The 18863-nt window shown below is 38.9% G+C and overlaps 1 protein-coding gene across 5 annotated transcripts in view; it reads left to right on the top strand.

Annotated features, from left to right (window-relative positions):
* CSMD1 (CUB and Sushi multiple domains 1) overlaps positions 1-18863 on the top strand; it is a 2059554-nt gene that overhangs the window by 1791000 nt on the left and 249691 nt on the right. For all 5 annotated transcript variants that reach the window (XM_011534752.3, NM_033225.6, XM_011534753.4 and 2 more), the window contains 5 exons: positions 2190-2303; positions 4106-4201; positions 13800-14003; positions 14904-15028; positions 15950-16046. In XM_011534752.3, coding sequence (XP_011533054.1) covers positions 2190-2303; positions 4106-4201; positions 13800-14003; positions 14904-15028; positions 15950-16046 — 636 coding nt within the window. The remainder of the gene's footprint in view (positions 1-2189; positions 2304-4105; positions 4202-13799; positions 14004-14903; positions 15029-15949; positions 16047-18863) is intronic.

Below are 18863 nucleotides of genomic sequence, written 5' to 3'. Positions count from 1 at the left end.
ACTACGGGGTGATGTGATCCTTACCAGGTAGGAAGAGGCTGCTCCCTGTCTGTCAACACAGGCTGAAAATGCGAAGCGATATTATTAATAAGACAGGTCTTCAGATAACCCAGTTTCCTCTATTCTCATCCAAAAGCATAGCCAAGAATTCTTTCTAAAACACAAATCTAAGCATGTTAGTATCGTGATAAACATCCTTAGTCACTCCTGTTATTTATGGAGCAAAGTGTTTGTTTTCAGGGTGGCCTTTGAGATCCTTGCCACAGGCCTTTGCATTCCAATCCCCCTGTTTGTTTTTTATCCACGGAGTGTTAGCTGAAGTTGACTATTTGCTGCATTTGTCCCCGCCACCATTTTGCTTTTTGTATTCCGTTCGCTGATATAATTTCTTATATTCCATTCTTCCACTAATCCTTCTTGCTGATAGTGCCATCCCCTCACCATGAAGCATTGACAGTTCCCGCGGCTGAAGCCCCATAACCCTTTGTTTGTTCTTCTCATCACATTCTCATGATTTCCGGCAGCAGCGTAGATAGCAGTGAACAGCTTTTCTCTCTTGGCAATTGAGTTTGCTCACTGGGACTCAGTGTGTGTGACGGGTTAGAACCCAGGTGAAGGAGGTTCCTCAAGGAAGACGTTGGGGCCATGTCCAGAATGAGCTGGGCATTCTGGCTCCTGACATCTTGTACTCAAAATCCATGTTTGTCTTGGAAATTACCAAACACGTTAGAGCATGATAGTCCTAAGACCATGTTACTATCCCCTTCCCTCCTTTTTTCTTAGTTTCTAGTATGAGGTGGATGTCAGCTAAATATTTCTTGAAAAAGAGTAGAAATTATCTGTGGATGATTCACTTTTGTGACCCAAGTTTTGGGCCTCCAGTATGATAAAAATCTAATGAACTTGGGGAGGTGGTGGGTGGGTGAGGATGGTATGAGCAAGATCTGTAGAGAAATTATTAAGTCCTCTCCCTCTCTAATTCCTGAAAAAAGTTTTTAGAGCATTTCATCTATTGGGAAAATTCACCTAGCCTACATGCCTTCTTTGTGTTTTTCTCTGGGAAATTATAAAATCTTAAAAGACAAGTTATATTAGATATGTGTGTATGGAGTTGGTTACATAAATATATGTATGTGTGTCTATACACACATGGGCACACACACTGTTACAGTTAGATTACTTCCGTCATACTAACAAATATTAACAGTAATTGTTTCCGTTGGAATTCTGACACACACAACTAGTGCACACACCTCCATTTCTTGTTTATAATGGCTTAGAATGATTGTAGTGCAAATCTTACAATAAATAAGAAAAGAATTAGTTGTTCATTGCTTGTAAGTATATACCAAATCACAGGTTTTCCTGCAAATATAAAGGCCCTCTGTATCGTCAATCTGAATACACAGCATCAGTTAAATTTGAAGTCACAAAGCATGTAGTTATGTTTCACTTGGAGGAGGTGTGTTCACACACCTTTCATAACCTGTAGGATACATGAAATTGTAGAGTGGAAAACAGCAAGGGATTCCTATTATATGCCAGAGAATCACGTGTATAAGTCAGTGTGTATGAATACGGCAACGTATTAATGTGAATTTGGCATTATAATAATCTTTTGTGAGGAATTTTAAATTCCTCATCAAATCATCATGGGGTTTGATCCTTTGCTTATTTTTCATTGAATAAAGTGTTGCTAAATATTTGAAAATATAGGGAAGTCTTTACAGATATTCTTTTTTTTCTTGAGACAGAGTCTCACTCTGTCGCCCAGGCTGGAGTGCAGTGGTACAATCTCAGCTCATTGCAACCTTCGCCTTCCAGGTTCAAGCCATTCTCCTGCCTCAGCCTCCCAAAGTACTGGGATTACAGGCGTGAGCCACCACATCCAGCCCATATATTCTTAATGTTGTGTTTATTAAAACAAAAACATTCCTCATTTAATGTTCAAATTGGAAATAAAACAGTATTTTTTCTTTTATTAAATGCCAAAAGTCAAGAAGCAAAGTAAAATAGTTTTGTCAACTGAAAACTTAGAAAGCAGAGAAAATAAGTTAATATTTATTTTTTTACCAAATTCTTAGGATAATGATCCATTGGGGCAATTAATAGATATTCAGTGAAATCAAAAATCTCCATTTTGTTTTCTTAGAGCATCTTGTGCCAACATCCCACCTCTTATTTTTTAGTGGTCTTTGGACAGTTTGCCTATTTCCAGACAGCCCTGAATGATTTGGCAGAATTATTTGATGGAACCCATGCACAGGCCAGACTTCTCAGCTCACTCTCGGGGTCTCACTCAGGTAAGTCTTAAAGAATTTTGCCCTTAATTTAGTTCAGACAGCTAGGGGGATTAATTTTTAACTTGTCTGTTTCTTTTGCTTTGTTTTGATGAATGAGAAATGTAATCATTTTTGAATTTGCGTGTGTGCTTAGAAAAATCTTATTTTAGATATAAGATCTCAAAAGTGTTTTTATCTCACACATAAAATCACGTGCTTTTATCATCTTACTAAGATTGCAGAAAATATAATATTTATCTCAGTAAAAGGTGCAAAGATCCGAAAAAGAGGGTGGGATAATCAACTATCATCTGTGTTTAATTTTGTATCCCATGTGTCTTAACCTTCCTTCTGGAGATAAAAACGATTAACATTTCGGTCTAAAGCATTCTAAGCCTGTAAGTCCTACATAGAGAGACCCATTAATAGCCACACATGTACACGTGTTCACATGTATACATGCATACATTTATCCACACATGCAAATACACATGAGCCCCCATAAAACATGGAATGTTATTTCACAACTTATTTTTATCCCATTCTTACCCTTAAAATCACATACAGAAGTCTGTCTCTAACAAACACGGTATGCACCCAATGCCCTTACTCTGAGTTCTGAATGGTATTCAGTCGGTTTAATATAGCACAATTTAACCCCACTTTTAATTGATGACCTACCCCTTATTTGTACTGATACATTTTCATCATTTACTAAATCAGTTTGGTACTGGGTACATTTACTAATTTGCCTAGTAAACGATATGCGTCACAAGCTTTGACCAATTAATGTTCAGATTTGATTATATTTCCAGGTTTTCTCTATTTTATTATTAACTAAAAGTCTTAAGACCTATGTTTTGTTATTTTCTACCAAGGTTCAATGATGTATCTAAGAATGCATCAGAGGATACACATTAAATATGTTGATTATTAGTAACACATTGTCCTCTGAAAACCTTATGCCAATTCACACACCTCCCACCACTGCTTGACACAGACTCTTCCACATTTTATATGCACTTTTATATATTTTTTATTTTTATTTTATTATTATTATTATTATTTTTTTTTGAGACAAAGTCTCACTCACTCTCTTGCCCAGGCTAGAGTGCAGTGGCACCATCTCGGCTCACTGCAACCTCCATCTCCCAGGTTCAAGCGATTCTCCTGCCTCAGCCTCCTGAGTGGCTGGGATTACAGGCATGCACCACCACGCCTGGCTAATTTTTGTATTTTTAGTAGAGACGTGGTTTCCCCATGTTGGCCAGGCTGGTCTCAAACTCCTGGCCTCAAGTGATCCACCAGCTTCAGCCTCCCAAAATGCTGGGATTACAGGTGTGAGCCACCTCACCTGGCCTATATGTGCTTTTAAAGGTTAAAAATATACTTCAGAAGGCCTTTTCTGAATCTTTTAATTTAAAAAAAATCATCTTTGGATTCAGTTACTTTTAAAAATTTTTTAAGTAAAATTATTTTAATTTTAACTAAAATCAGAGTAAGGTGATTCTGAGCAAATGATTCACCCTTTACTTCTGTCTACTCTATTATATAGGCCTACCATTGGTGCTTTCTTCAAAAGAAATCATAAGCGAAATAATGATTACAGTATATTTTAATCAAATGCACTGCCTATTCTTGCCTAGGACAGAGTTTTTAATCTTTATAAAAACAACATATTTGAGTTTTAAACCATAAAGTGAAAATGTTTTAAAAGTTCAAAAAATAAATGTGAAATTTCAACTTTATCACCATTTTCCAAAATACTACCGTCCCCCACGGTGCTGTGTGTTTTCTGAATCTGTCTCTGTTTTCGTTTCTAGGGGAAACATTGCCCTTGGCTACGTCAAATCAAATTCTGCTCCGATTCAGTGCAAAGAGCGGTGCCTCTGCCCGCGGCTTCCACTTCGTGTATCAAGGTAAGCGTCACTCCACATGTCTCCACATGTCACTGTGGTCTTTCCTGATGCTGCACCCACGGCTAGTCTCAGACAAAGCACTCAAAACATCTCAGCTGCATTTTTGTAATATTTAAGGAGCTGAAGGTGTTCATATGTTTATAATAAAATTATTTAATAAAAATATTACAATTTTTTGACAGTTGAAACTCATATTTCTACTACAAAAACACAATAATATCTAATTTATCAGGCACTAGAAGGGAATAAATATTGATCATATTACCTTTCTGTAGCTCTTCACATCTCGTAAGATGACTTCAAATACAGTATTTTATCTAATTACGTATTTTGAAATAGTTGAGATCTTAGTAACAATATAGGAAATATGTTTAAAATGCATTATACAATTTCACATTTTATTATAAAAACTAAGCTTAAATGGAAATTTAACAAAACAAAACAAAAAACAAAATATCACGCATGCATCTCTTATCCTAACTAAATACCTATTTTATTTTGTTTGTGTTTTATTAACTTTGGGTACTTTTACACCTTTATACTTATCTTTTAATTTAAACCTTTTAAAAAATATTTGAGATTGCTCAAAGATTCTGCAAAGTAAAGAATTTTCTCCTAATTTGTTTCACTTTTGTTTTGCATTGAAAAAATGACCACATAAACTGTTCATACACTTTCAGAAGCTTGGATTAAGTCTTTGCGTGGAGCTTGTCATGACTGTAAAGGTTGAGATCTGGAAGAAATGATCTTGTTCAGAGATAAACTGTGTGTTCAAAAATAAAAAGCAATATTTTAGTTTTTCTAGGTCTCAATTTTGCTGGAGGCTACAGATACTAATGGCCACTGTTAAGTATTTTCTTCAGATCTGGAGAAAAATTTTTTCTTAGCAATGGTTTCTTTCCTTTAATAAAGATTCCTCCAGAAAACATTATTGATACTATTACGTATTTTTTAAAAAGGTGGAGTATAACAGTGTTATATTATGTATCAATCGTTTCTAATCATCTCAAATTGGGAAATTCATGACTTCAAAACAGTTCAGTGTAAAAACCCTTCAGTTTTCAGCAATTAGATCATTTAAAGAGTAATGGGAAGAGAATGAGGATGATGCTTAACAGTTAATCAGGAGACAAAGATCTCTCTGATCCTGTGTAAGTAGCCATTGAATGAATGGAGATGCTAATGCATTAAAAGGTGTTACATTGTTATAAGTTACACCTTTTATTAAAATGTAAATAATTACCCAGTAGTTTTTAAAAATGGACTTTATTAGAGAGTGGCCTGTTGAAACAACCCGTCTCTTACTACTTCTAATTTTTTCAAATAAATTCTATCTGACTTTGCAAAAGCAGAATCACGTTTAGACCAAAGTATGTGAGATGTGTAAAGAAACTGGGCTGCCTCAACATTTTTTCTCCTGGAAACACTAAAGTGACTGACCTTGTCTGCCTTTATAAGGGGCTTTCCTTGGTTTTTGATAAAGATTATAAAATCTATCCCATCATCAGACAATATATTGCATGCAAATATCCTGGTGTCTTATATGCAAATGTTGTCCTTGGTAGGCATGTATTTTAAAAATTATGCTTATTTAAAGTAATACGTTTTCATCAAAATGTCAAAGATACGGAAAAGTAGAAAGAAAAGAACATCATTTATAGAGGAAATTTATTTTTCTTGTCCTCAAGAGTATATGACGACTCTAACATCCTCAATATTTTATAAATTTCTAATATACCTCCTTCTCTTGCTTTGCTCCTACTAGTGTGTTTATGCAGAAAATTGATGTCTTTTTGTCAAAACTAAGTTTTTTTGGAAGAACTAGAATCATAAATGCAACTTATAAATTACTCAACAGCAATGGTAAAAGTTTTGCATACACATGAAAAGTTAAATGGAACATTGCTTCTTGAAAGACAGTAGTTCCATTGAAGCCTAAAAAGTATTTGAAGCCGGGCACGGTGGCTCAAGCCTGTAATCCCAGCACTTTGGGAGGCCGAGGCGGGCGGATCACGAGGTCAGGAGATCGAGACCATCCTGGCTAACATGGTGAAACCCCGTCTCTACTAAAAATACAAAAATTAGCCGGGCGTGGTGGCGGGCACCTGTAGTCCCAGCTACTCGGGAGGCTGAGGCAGGAGAATGGCGTGAACCCGGGAGGCGGAGCTTGCAGTGAGTGGAGATCGCGCCACTGCACTCCAGCCTGGGTGACAGAGCGAGACTCCGTCTCAAAAAAAAAAAAAAAAAAAAATTATTTGAGCTATATTATAGAAAAATATTCTAAACAGTGCTTTCATACACCATTACAGCTTCATTCATTCATAAACAAATTCAGCTTCAAATTGCACACAGACTTTATGTCTTCCGTGGTTGTAGGATAGCTAACCCTTGTTAACAGACACAGTTCTGTTATAAAGAGCTGCTGGGGTCTACAGTGAAAAATGTTTGCAACAGCATCAGTGTGCAAAAAAACGTGTGACTCCAGACATGCACAGATCATGGTCTCTAGCCTTCTGCTTCCCACCCTCCATGTCATCCTGGTTAGTAATGTGAAGACAGAATTAATGATGATGTTACCATCTTTCTGAACTTCTGAAGCAATGTAAGTCTAGAGGCTCTTTAATGCAGTATTCTAGTTACTCTATGCAATTGCTGGGTTTTTGTGTGTTTTCCACACTTCTTGAGAGCAGAAGGGTACATTTGGAAAGCATGAGAGAAGAAGGTGTGAGTGACATCATGGGGTGCCCCAGAGAAGGCTGTGGCCAGTGACCCTTCAGAAAGGGATAACCCTTCAGCATGGATGTATCCATGGTGAGCCAGCACTTGCCAGGAGCTTCTCTTATCTTTAGTTTCGTGCCGTTGAATGAACGGGCATGGTCATTATCCACTCTCCCAGGAATGAAACTCTCACAACTCACTGGTCTCCAGTGATGGAAGGAGCAGTATGGAGACTGAGATGAGTGACCTGCATTACCAACAAGTTTCAGTGATTATGGAGCACTGTTTGCAGCTGTGGCTCAGGCATGAGTCCTGCCTGCCCAACCTTTCACCCCCCTCTGAATCAGCAACCACTTCATCAGCTGTGATATAATCAAATAGAATTGAGAAGCTAAAGCTATGGTGAGAAGCTGGCATGAAAAGAAATCTAATTATTCCCCTCCTGAAGTATAAGAGTATCTGTAATGGTTTTGTTACCAGAAAGGGGTGCGGATCCAGACCCCAAGAGAGGTTCTTGGATCTCGCGCAAGAAAGAATTTGGGGCGAGTCCATAGAGTAAAGTAAAAACAAGTTTATTAGGAAAGTTAAGGAATAAAGAATGGCTAATCCATAGAGCAGCAGCATGGGCCACTCAGCTGCTTCTACTTGCTATTATTTCTTGATTATATGCTAAATGAGGGATGGATTATTAGTGAGTTTTCTGGGAAAGGGGTAGACAATTCCTTTAACTAGGATTTCTCTCCTTTTTAGACCCTTTAGGGTAACTTCCTGGCATTGCCATGGCATTTGTAAACTGTCATCGTGCTGGTGGGAGTGTCTTTTAGCATGCTAATACATTATAATTAGTATATAATGAGCAGTGGGAATGACCACAGGTCACTTTAGTCGCCATCTTGGTTTTGGTGGATTTGGGCCGGCTTCTTTACGGCGTCTTTTTGTCAGGAAGGTCTTTGTGATCTATACCTTGTGCCGACCTCCTACCTCATCCTGTGACTTAGAACACCTGACCTCCTATGAATTTAGCCTAGTAGGTCTCAGCCTCATTTTATACAGCCCCTATTGAAGATGGAGTCACTCTGGATCAAACACCTCTGACAGTTTAAATATTCCAAGTCTGAACCATGACTACATTTTTTCCCTGCATTAGCAAGCTTTCTTGAAGACGTGGGAGATACACAATTCTTGCTTTTAAATGTTGAATATGTTCAGCCTTGTACATTTGCTTTTTGGCATCAAGCAGAAAGTGTTTTATACCAGTTTCTTAGCTCCCGGGAATTCCTCGAGTGTTCACAGTGGAGGAGACTCCTGTAGCTTCCCCTCTTCTCCCTAAATTCCCTGGTCTTGTACCATCAAGCAGGGACTGGCAGGACCTGCATTACTGGCCGTGGTTATACAGGTTTAGGGATCTTTGTCATTTCACAGAAAATATATTACACCGAAAATCAACATATTCTTAGACGCAATGCAAAAGCCGAACATCACACAAACTGTTTCTTAGTAACTCCAGCACAGTCTGCTTCTTCCAGGATTAGAAGAGGCCATTGATTCTATGCCATTAAGTAATTACATTGCATTTAGAGACTTTGCTTTGGCCTGTAATTCACGTCTTTCAACATTAGAATCAATCCGCCTGAAAACAGAGGCCAAGAGAGGCAGAGCCCACATCCTTCTCTTTCCTGCCTGCTCCGAGGCTCCTGTGGATTTAAGACAGGGTGGTCACAGCTGCCCACCCTGCCCTGTCTTCTCCCGCATCCCTCTGATGTGCATGATTGACTGTGTCTCAGTAAACCTTCATGTTGGAGAGTACCTCATCCATGCTACTTTTTTCAATTGTCTTATATTTATGCCTGGCTGTTTTCATAAAAGGCCTATTTCTGTAATTTGTTTCAACATAGAATTCAATGCTGCTTTCAGTTCCTTCCAGATCACACAGTCACACCAAAATGAGTAAACTGCAAGGATTTACTGTACATTTTAAAGGGAAAAGGAAACCATATTTCTATATTGAACCCCTTCCGCAGTGCCCAGCTTGTAAATGTCTATTGGCCAGGACTTTTTCAAGTCATGTTTTCCGGGTCACCATCTCTAACCTGGGTTCTCCTCTCCCAGGCTCCTCACCTGAAGCAGCACCTGCATCCCAGGCTCAGGAGCTCAAGGCTTCTTCTTCCAGGGTCTTCTGCTGGAAAGACTCAGTCTCTTTAGCATTCATGGAAATATAGTTAATTAGGCCAGTCATGGTGGCTCATGCCTATAATCCTAGCACTTTGGGAGGCCAAGGCAGGCAGATTATCTGAGCTCAGGAGTTTGAGACCAGCGTGGCTAACATGGCGAAATCCCATCTCTACTAAAAGTACAAAAAAAAAAAAAATTATTAGCCAAGTGTGGTGGCATGTGCCTGTAGTCTCAGCTTCTTGAGAGGCTGAGGCAGGAGAATTGCTTGAACCTGGGACGTGGAGATTGTAGTGAGCCTAGATCACACCACTGTACTCCAGCCTGGGTGACAGAATGAGTTTCCACCTCAAAAATGAAATGAAATAAAATAAAATAAAATAAAATAAAATAAAATAAAATAAAATAAAATAAAATAGTTAATCAGATGGTCTCCTGAAAATAAACAGACCTAAAAACACAGAAATATTTTTTTCTCAGTTTGGGTAGGAAAGATGTACATTAAGAATTTCTTTACTTGAGGTTATTTCTGGGCAGGCAAATACATGTTTTGATTGATTTTCCCTTGGTTTCTTCTTCTTTTTAGAGGGCATGAATTATATGGCTTAGTTGGTTTTCCACATCTAAAAACTCACATTTGTGTCAAGAGCCTATAAAAAGCATATTCTTTGCAAAGAAGAATAAATGTAAAATTTTGCTTGCAATTCAGTGATGTATGTTTTAATTCATTGACTAGTAATGGCTTGTCCAACCTGATTTTCCAACGATGAGAGAGGAATGATTTTGAGAGAGAAAATGTCCCTCAGTCACTACATCAAAAAGAAAACTGCTTCACTTAGGTATTGCAAGTGAGTCCTACATGCACTCAGATTTATTTTATGATTGTTGTTGTGGTTTTCACATCAACTGTAACAGAGGTGCAGTAAAGGAGCAGCATGTATCTGTAGCTTAGAGCATTTGTGGTGTTGAAGGGTGATCATCGAACCTGTCACAACATGCTTCCGGCTTTTCCCGACAGATGAGCACACATTTGCGCTGCTTCCCACTTTCAGCACCTCAAAGCCCCAGAGGAGAGCGTTCTGCCTCTGAAGAAACACGGTTGTCTGGCCTGAGAAGTCAATCATTTTGTTGATCACCCTCTATTCCAGGCTGACCTCATTCCTGCTCACTTTTCCACTGGCCCGATTTCAATTTGGCTTCACAGCAGTGTGAAATATTTACTAAAGGATAGAGAATGATGACGACAGACAATAGAATTTTTCTCTCGGATGCCGTCTGAAATGTCCAGGTGAAGGGCCAGACCCAGAGGACGGGCGGGGAGGATGAAGTTACACAGCACTGTCTGATTTCCACCCACCCGCTTCCCAGACGTTCCGTGGAGCTGTGATGTCTCAATTCCACAGCTTCTCCCTGCCTCCCTATCCTACTGTCTCAAGTCCTTACAATTGGTGTCCTCACTTTCCAAACTTCTTCCTCTAAAAAACATTTTTCGTCTTGTTATCCAGATGCAGGTGTTATTCATTTATTGTCATTTTCCTTGAAAATAGACCACTCTGAAATTCATGAAGAAAGTTAATAGTGACTTGTGTACAAATGACCCTTGGTGCTATATTTCTCCTCATTTTGGGAACTTGGAAAGATAGTGATACCCTGTATCTCTCAAAGGTACAAATATGTTTGCATAGCTCTCAAATATATTTGTATAGCTCCCAGATATACAAGTGACAGATGCAATACCTGAAGCCTCTTAGATAAGTGCAACCTTTGCCACGATAGCAGGTATTTTGTAAGCAATCCAGTGTAAGTAGAAAAACTGGCAATAGCGCTTCATTTTGTGGAAGATCCTTGAGATGACTGTGGAAGCCTCTATGGGATATCTTTTTTTTTTTCTTCATGCCATTATTCAACTCTAATAAAATACTCAAGCATGCAAACATGACACAAATAATTTCAAGAAATATTATGTTATATGGATTGAGCATCCCTAATCTGAATATCCAAAATTCAAAATGCTCCAAATCTGCTTTGTTTTGAGCACCAACATGACTCCACAAAGGAAAAATTTCACACCTGACCTCCTGTGATGGACAAATCACAATAGAAAATGCAGTCAACACTTTGTGTCATGCACAAAATTATTTAAAATATTGTATTTGTATTTCAAAATATAAAATATTGTATAAAATGGCTGCCCACCAGGACTTCTCCGTTGTGCCAAAGTGCTGCTTCTCGTGCCTCTCTCCAGGCTACATAAATCCATCTGGCTCGTGACCTATTTAAAGGGCAACTTGTTTTATGGGAAACAATTGAGTAGTAGCCAAACCATGACAATTACTGTGTTTCATAAACTAAGTCATCATCTTAACAAGGATAAAGCACGTGTAGAAGGTGTATCAGACTATGTGTATAAAGCATGTATTAGACATCATTGAATTTCATGTTTAGACTTGGGTCCCATCCCTAAGATATCTCATTATGTTTATGCAAATATTCCAACACCTACAAGAATTCCAAACCTGAAACACCAAACGTTTCAGATAAGAGATCCTTGACCTATAATAGAATATTATCGTTATTCTGTATTTCATTTTTAGCTTGGAGAAGAATGATTCTGATAAATCATTAATTATTTTCCACATCAGTGCTGTTAGAAAGGTAGACACTTTTATTAATTTTGCCTTCTGATAGAAAATATCTCAACACCAAATTGAAACATCGTTTAATCAAAATAATCTGCCAATTTCCGTTTTCATGGAACTGCTTCCCCAGCAGCAGTTACCCAAATAATGTCTGTCGTTGGTCTGATTCAACAGAAAATAAATAAATAAAACAGATTCCAGTGTGTCAGAAAAAGCCGTGGGAAGATAGAAGGGTTATTTTAAGGGAAAATTCATATACGAGAACATTCTGCTAAAGGACTGTGCATTTAGGATGAAGAAACACAAGGACTGAGGAGGATAGAATCCCAGAGACAGTACCTAAATACTGTCTTTTTCACTGCAGAGGACAAAAACAAAATAAGCAAATTTCAAAGGGCATAACTATTTTCAGAGTTTGCCTAGTGTGATGGACCTCTTTGCCAATTGAAGTATTTTTTAATCTTTATCCCACATTCCTTTTGATAAACAGGAATATCTCCTGTAGATGGTAATTTCTGCCATACAACCTGAATAGTTATCTCACCCACACGTTGCACTGATACTTACCTGTCAGTACCCACTATCCAAAGCCCATGAGATACACACACGTCATTCCATATCCCTGGGTTTTTGCTTGCTGCAACAATGAAGGCCTCCCATTTTACAGAACCTAGGAAAGTCTCATCAAGAGAGAACTGGAGGGGCTTGCTATTTTTTCATTTTTTACTTTATTTATTTTTTTCTCAATCTTTCACCCAGGCTGGAGTGCAGTGGTGTGATCTTGGCTCACTGCAACTTATGCCTCCCAGGGTGAAGCGATTATCCTGCCTCAGACTCCCGAGCAGCTGGGATTACAGACATGTGCCACCATGCCCGGCTAATTTTTGTATTTTTAGTAGAGACGGGGGTTTCACCTGTTGGCCAGGCTGATAAACGAACTCTCGACCTCAAGTGATCCACCCTCCTCTGCCTCCCAAAGTGCTGGGATTACAGGCTTGCGCCACTGCACCCGGCTGGGGCTTGTTAGGATTTGAGCTCATCCTAGGTGACTTTAGAGAGGACTAAATGCAACATGATGGCACGTGGAGCAGGTGTTCTCATTAGAAAAATCTACCCTCTTAACTATAAACACAGTGCTGTAGAGCAGGTCTCCAGGGCATACTCATTTTATGTAAGTGAAACTTTATAGCCACTCAACAGTTGCTTCCCATTTTCCTGTTCCCCAGCCCCCAGTAACTACCATTGTAAATCTCTCTGGTTCTATGAGTGCCACTACTTTAGATCTCCCCATAGAAGTAGAATCATAAGGTATTCGTTCTTCTGTGGCTGCTTATTTGCTTATTTCACTTAGCACGATGTCCTCAAGGTTCATCCGTGTTATTACAAATAGCAGAATTTCTTCTTTTATCTACTCCACGTTTTCTTTATCTGTTCATCTGATGATGGACATTTAGGTTGTTTGCACATCTAGACTATTTTGAAGAATGCTACAATGAATGTGAGAGTACCGATTTTTCTCTGGGATCCCAATTTAAATTCCTTTAGATAAGTATACACGAGTGGGATTGCTGGATCTGATGGTAGTTTAAGATTTTTATTACATCACGATGGCCATATTATAACAAATCCTTCATATGGTAGCTTTTCTCATTAGACTCAGAGGCCTGTGAGGACAAGTACGCATGGTTAGTCATCTCATTATCACTAGCAGGATGATTAAATGTAATCGCCTGAATATCAATCCGTCCTCATAAGGCACTGAGTCTTTTTATGCCGTTTTCCTCATCTGAAGTGAGGACACTGAGATGGTCCTGAGGGCGAAGTACAGTTGGGAACGTGCTCCTCAAATCATTCTCTATAGCGATTGTTGGAGGCTTTATTAACTTCTCTATCTGCACCAGCTCTGCGTGGTCCCAGCGCCTCAAATCATTCTCTATAGCGATTGTTGGAGTCGTTATTAAATTCTCTGTCTGCATCAGCTCTCCTTGGTCCCATCTTAAACCCACGTTCCACGCAACGTCCTGGCTTGCTGATGGAGATACAGACGGCTGTGTTCTGTACTTTGCTTCTAGCTGTTCCTCGTACCAGTGACACCCAATGCAGCTCTGTCCCCGAGCCCAGATACGGAAGGAGAATTGGTTCTGAGTTTTCTGCCGGCTCCATCGTCCGATTCGAGTGCAACCCGGGATACCTGCTTCAGGGTTCCACGGCGCTCCACTGCCAGTCCGTGCCCAACGCCTTGGCACAGTGGAACGACACGATCCCCAGCTGTGTGGGTGAGCAGTGTCCCTAAGCGGCTGCCCGCCAGAACTCTGTGGTGGTGCCAAAGAGTTACTTCTCATGTTTCTATCCAGGCTACGTAAATCCATCTGGCTCATGACCCATTTAAAGGGCAGTTTGTTTCATGGGAAGTAATTGAGTTAGTAGCCAAACCCTAAAAATTATTGTGTTTCATAAAACAACTCATCATCTTAACAAGGATAAAGCATGTTTCCCTTCTCCATATTTATGAAGTAGGCCATCAACTCTAAAGTTATGGGTGTGGAACATAATCTCATTTTGGGAAAAAACCATTATCATGTTGATTTGCTATATTACTTGTGTAACGTCCTTTTAATAAATTGGTGCTGATGAATCTTTGAAAATTAATAGGTAAATGCAGGCTGAATAACAGTGACCTTGTTAGTTATAGTTTACCTGCTTCATTTTGTGTGGAAAGCTCCAGCGCAATCATGATTAGCACTTGAATCATTTGTACATTTTAAGCGCCTCTTCTCTTGAATTTGCTCATAAATCCCATTAATATCATTTGGAGATGCATGTCTGCATGGAGAAGAGAAAACTCTGCCAAGGTCCTTAAATTATAGTAGGTAAATTATTCTAAACAGAATTCACTTTGGAGATGCCATCATTGGACATCATCCCTTCTTAGAGAACTTGGATAGATTTATTTATAGACTCAAGATCTATAACTGAGTAGCATAATAGGTAATAATTATTTTGCTAATTTAAAAGAGAATACACTGAATTTTACCTTGGCTAAAAGTGCCGTTTAACGTATCATTGTTCATGTACATTTTCTCTTACTGTGTGGTCACACAGTGAAAGAAAACTGCATGCCAAATCAACACTGTCCCACAGCACTTTATTTCATGACATATGGTTGTGTCTTTTAGTACCCTGCAGTGGCAATTTCACTCAACGAAGAGGTACAATCCTGTCCCCCGGCTACCCTGAGCCATACGGAAACAACTTGAACTGTATATGGAAGATCATAGTTACGGAGGGCTCGGGAATTCAGGTGAGTCCTTGAAGTCCACAGTCTACAACAGGGCTCAGCTGGGGTCCATGGGCTTCTTTCTTTCATTCTTTTGTTCTATGTTTCTTTCCATCTCTCTCTCTCTCCCTCTCTCTTTTTTCCTTTTATACTGGTTATTTTAAATACATAGACTATACTCTGTTTCCCTTTTCTTAGTATTTCAACAAAATATTTCTAACCATTTTTCTATATTTTGAATAAATATAATCAATTTTTTAAAATAAAAACTATCAAAAGTACCATTTGTAGAAATTGTTCTTTCAGCCGTGTGCATTGGCTCATGCATGTAGTCCCAGCACTTTGGGAAGCCAAGACAGGAAGATCACTTGATGTCAGGAGTTCAAGACTAGCCTGGCCAACATGGTGAAACCCTGTCTCTACTAAAAATATAAAAACTAGCCAGGCATGGTAGTATACGCCTGTAATCCTAGCTGCTAGGGAGGCTGAGGCAGGGGAATTGCTTGAACCTGGGAGGCGGAGGTTGCAGTGAGCCAAGATTGCACCATTGCACTCAAGCCTGGGTGACAGAGGAAGACTCCATCTCAAAAAAAAAAAAAAAAAAAAGAAAGGAAAAGAAAAAGAAAAATAAATTGTTCTTTCATGGTTTGTTTTGTTTTTTTTAAATTTTGCCATGTATATATAGATAGATAGACATGTAGATGATTTTCATGATTAAGGTATATATATATAATATTATGGCATTGGAGGCATTATTAAGGTGTATATGTATATATATATGGCATTGGAGGCATTATTAAGGTGTATATGTATATATATATACATATACATATGTATATATATATACATATACACCTTAATCATGAAAAACCCCAAAACCCCATCTAATTAGACTAATTGTGTTAAGCCAAAAATAAATATTAACTTAATGTCATGGTTTGGTAGATCCAAGTGATCAGTTTTGCCACGGAGCAGAACTGGGACTCCCTTGAGATCCACGATGGTGGGGATGTGACCGCACCCAGACTGGGAAGCTTCTCAGGTAAGATGGAGTCAATTTCCTCACCTGTGTGACTCAAAATCTGCAAACACCAAGAAAACAACATAAATAACAGCAAACACTCCACATAGAAATTTTCCTACACAATTCTTCTATCTCCATAATGGTTGCTCTAGTGCTGAAAGTCTTAGAGTAAGACCATCAAGAAACAGGTGAGTAAAAACAAAGCTGTGTTCTCCACGAGGAGGAGACCAATCTAAAAGTGTCAGATAGCAGAGCTTTGACATGCGGCAGGTCTCAGGCTGGCAGCAGAAGCCAGGAATAGTAATGTGAGGTAGCAAAGAGGCAGAGGTTAGGAAACGGTTCTCAACTCTTAAAATGCACAGCCTGACATTAAGCAATCTGGGAAAATTACACTGAGCATGTGGGCTCAGCTAGTCCTGAGATTCTACCCTACTCATATGTAGCCAGGCACGAAATTGTAGTCCACTGCAAGTCCACCCTCTCTTAGTCTTCCTTGCACCTCCGACTCTCACGAATGCACCCGCCTTGACGAGTCTGCTCTCCAAATGCCCTGCAAGTCTTCCCTTCCCATTGCCCTCGAGCGTCATTCAATCTCAATTTTGCTTTTGTTTAACAGGATATCCTGCCTCCAGATGCATGACACCGCTTTCTTTCACTTTGCTTTGTAATAGCATTACACTGTAATAGCATTAGGACTCAAACTTCATGAGCAGTGATGATGATCAGTATTGCGATTATCTCCCTGGTCATCACTGTCCTCACAGTTGCCCACATTTCCTGAGCCTTTACTTTGCCAGTTATGAACTTCTGTTAACATGAATGCTTAATTTTATCTTGAGTATGGCCAGGTGCAGTGGCTCATGCCTGTAAGCCCGGCATTACATTGGGAGGCTGAGGTGGGCGGATCACCTGAGGTCAGTAGTTCGAGACCAGCCTGGCCAACATGGCGAAACCCTGTCTCTACTAAAATTACCAAAAGTAGCCAATATGACAGCACCAACTAAGTTCTAAGGGATTATTGCTATCTCTGTTTTACCAATGAAGAACAAAGATTAGCTACTAGAGAATTGTCCAAGATGACAGAAAAAGTACTGTTTTCCATGAGTCCCTTCTTGCTTGCAGTAGCTGACTCCTTCTATCCCATTTGTCTGAATTCTGTCAGTTGTTTATCTCTACTGCAAAGGGAGGCTGGAATATATATTTTTTCTTAACTGTGGATATTTTTTCCCTAAATATTTCCGTTCTACTTTTACTCAATAGGTTAAAAAACATAAAGAAAATAGATAGCGCACAGGCCATTCACAGTGTCTGATACAACTTCCATTTTATCACTTCAAATGGTTCAAAGATCTTATCTCTGGTTCTCAGCAAATAAAACCATATTTTTATTTGGGCATGGCCATTTAAGGTGTTGGGAATAAAGTGCCAATCTATCATCTTATTGTTATCTGTCATTCACAATCCATGTTTGTCTGCCTGTGTACTATTTATACTTTTAGGAACTTTTATTTCAAATAGCCCATTACTGTCCTTAAAAGCTAGAACTCAAGGCCCATCTCCACCAGGAAATCCCTCTTTCTTCCCCTGACCACATAGCTCTTCCAATAGTTTAGTTTAGCATGTGATTTCTTAAAGTACCTGCTAGATATCAGACACTGTGTTTGTTGTTAGGAATACAAGATAAGGCCTCTCTCATTAAAAACATCATCAACAACAACAACACAAGTTAAAATCTACACAGATGCCAACACTTAATGTAATTATATAAATAATATTTGGTAAATAGACAGCATTACAGGTAGGTGATGGGTGTTACAGGAGGGAAAAAAGTCACACTTTTTTTTTTTTTAAGATGTAAGAGAAAAAAAAGCTACCTGGGAAAAATAAATTAAAATATCTTAACAGATTAGTAAAATATAGCTAGACAAATCAGAGAGAGACAGGAAATCCTTCAAGTCACGGGAGCCATGCAGTCTGTGTCTGTTTCTCTACACTCAGATATTGAATTGTGTTGCTCATTTTTAAGTAAAGTGTTCTTTTAGTTTGTAGAGATTTAAGTTTCTTCAGAATCTATATTAATCTCTGAGTGTCATGCACAATTCCTAGCACCTACCTCACAGTTTATGAATTCAGTTGGTAAAACCTGCTTAGAAAGTATGTGTCTTGCCACGTTTTGTCTGAGGATCAAATCTTATCATTCACATATATTTGGATTTATCAACTGCTGTACAGCAACCTCATATTAAGCCTTCCCTCGAGTAACTATCACAAGTGAACTTAGCTTCAGATGTGTAATAATTTCATATATCCTAATATTAGAAATAGGTTAATTTTTCAAAAGAGAGTATTAAATATTGAATTGTTTTTAACCTAATGTTCTCAGTCATAAATCTGTGACAGAACACATTTTACACACAAATGCAGGCATTACCAGCAGAAAGCAGGAGACGGCAAAATTAAGACAGCTGCATGATGGATTAGCCAAAGTTAGCAGGGAAATGCCTTACTAATAATAGTGAAAAAAAGAAGTGACCACATTGCCTCTGTATGCATGAAAAATAACAACAATCTCCTTTTTATTAATTTCAGTTTTTGGAGTTAGCCAGGAGAAAATTTGAAAAAATATGTTTGACATAAATACCACTGCAATGCAATTCTGACGCTAATTTCCTGGAGTTAGCACGGAGTTCGTGCACTTCATGCTTCTCCACAGGACTCCCCTCTGACGTCAGCTGCAAGCCCTCGGGGCCTCCCAGGCCACCTGCACTCTGACCAACTGGCTATAAATTTAGGGGGTCCATGGTCCCTTCAGTTCTTGATAGTTCCCTAGAGTAC

Source organism: Homo sapiens, chromosome 8 (genome assembly GCF_000001405.40).
Source record: "Homo sapiens chromosome 8, GRCh38.p14 Primary Assembly".
NCBI lineage: Eukaryota > Metazoa > Chordata > Mammalia > Primates > Hominidae > Homo > Homo sapiens.
Note: the sequence above shows the minus strand (reverse complement) of the source record. Positions and strands in the feature narration are given on the sequence as shown.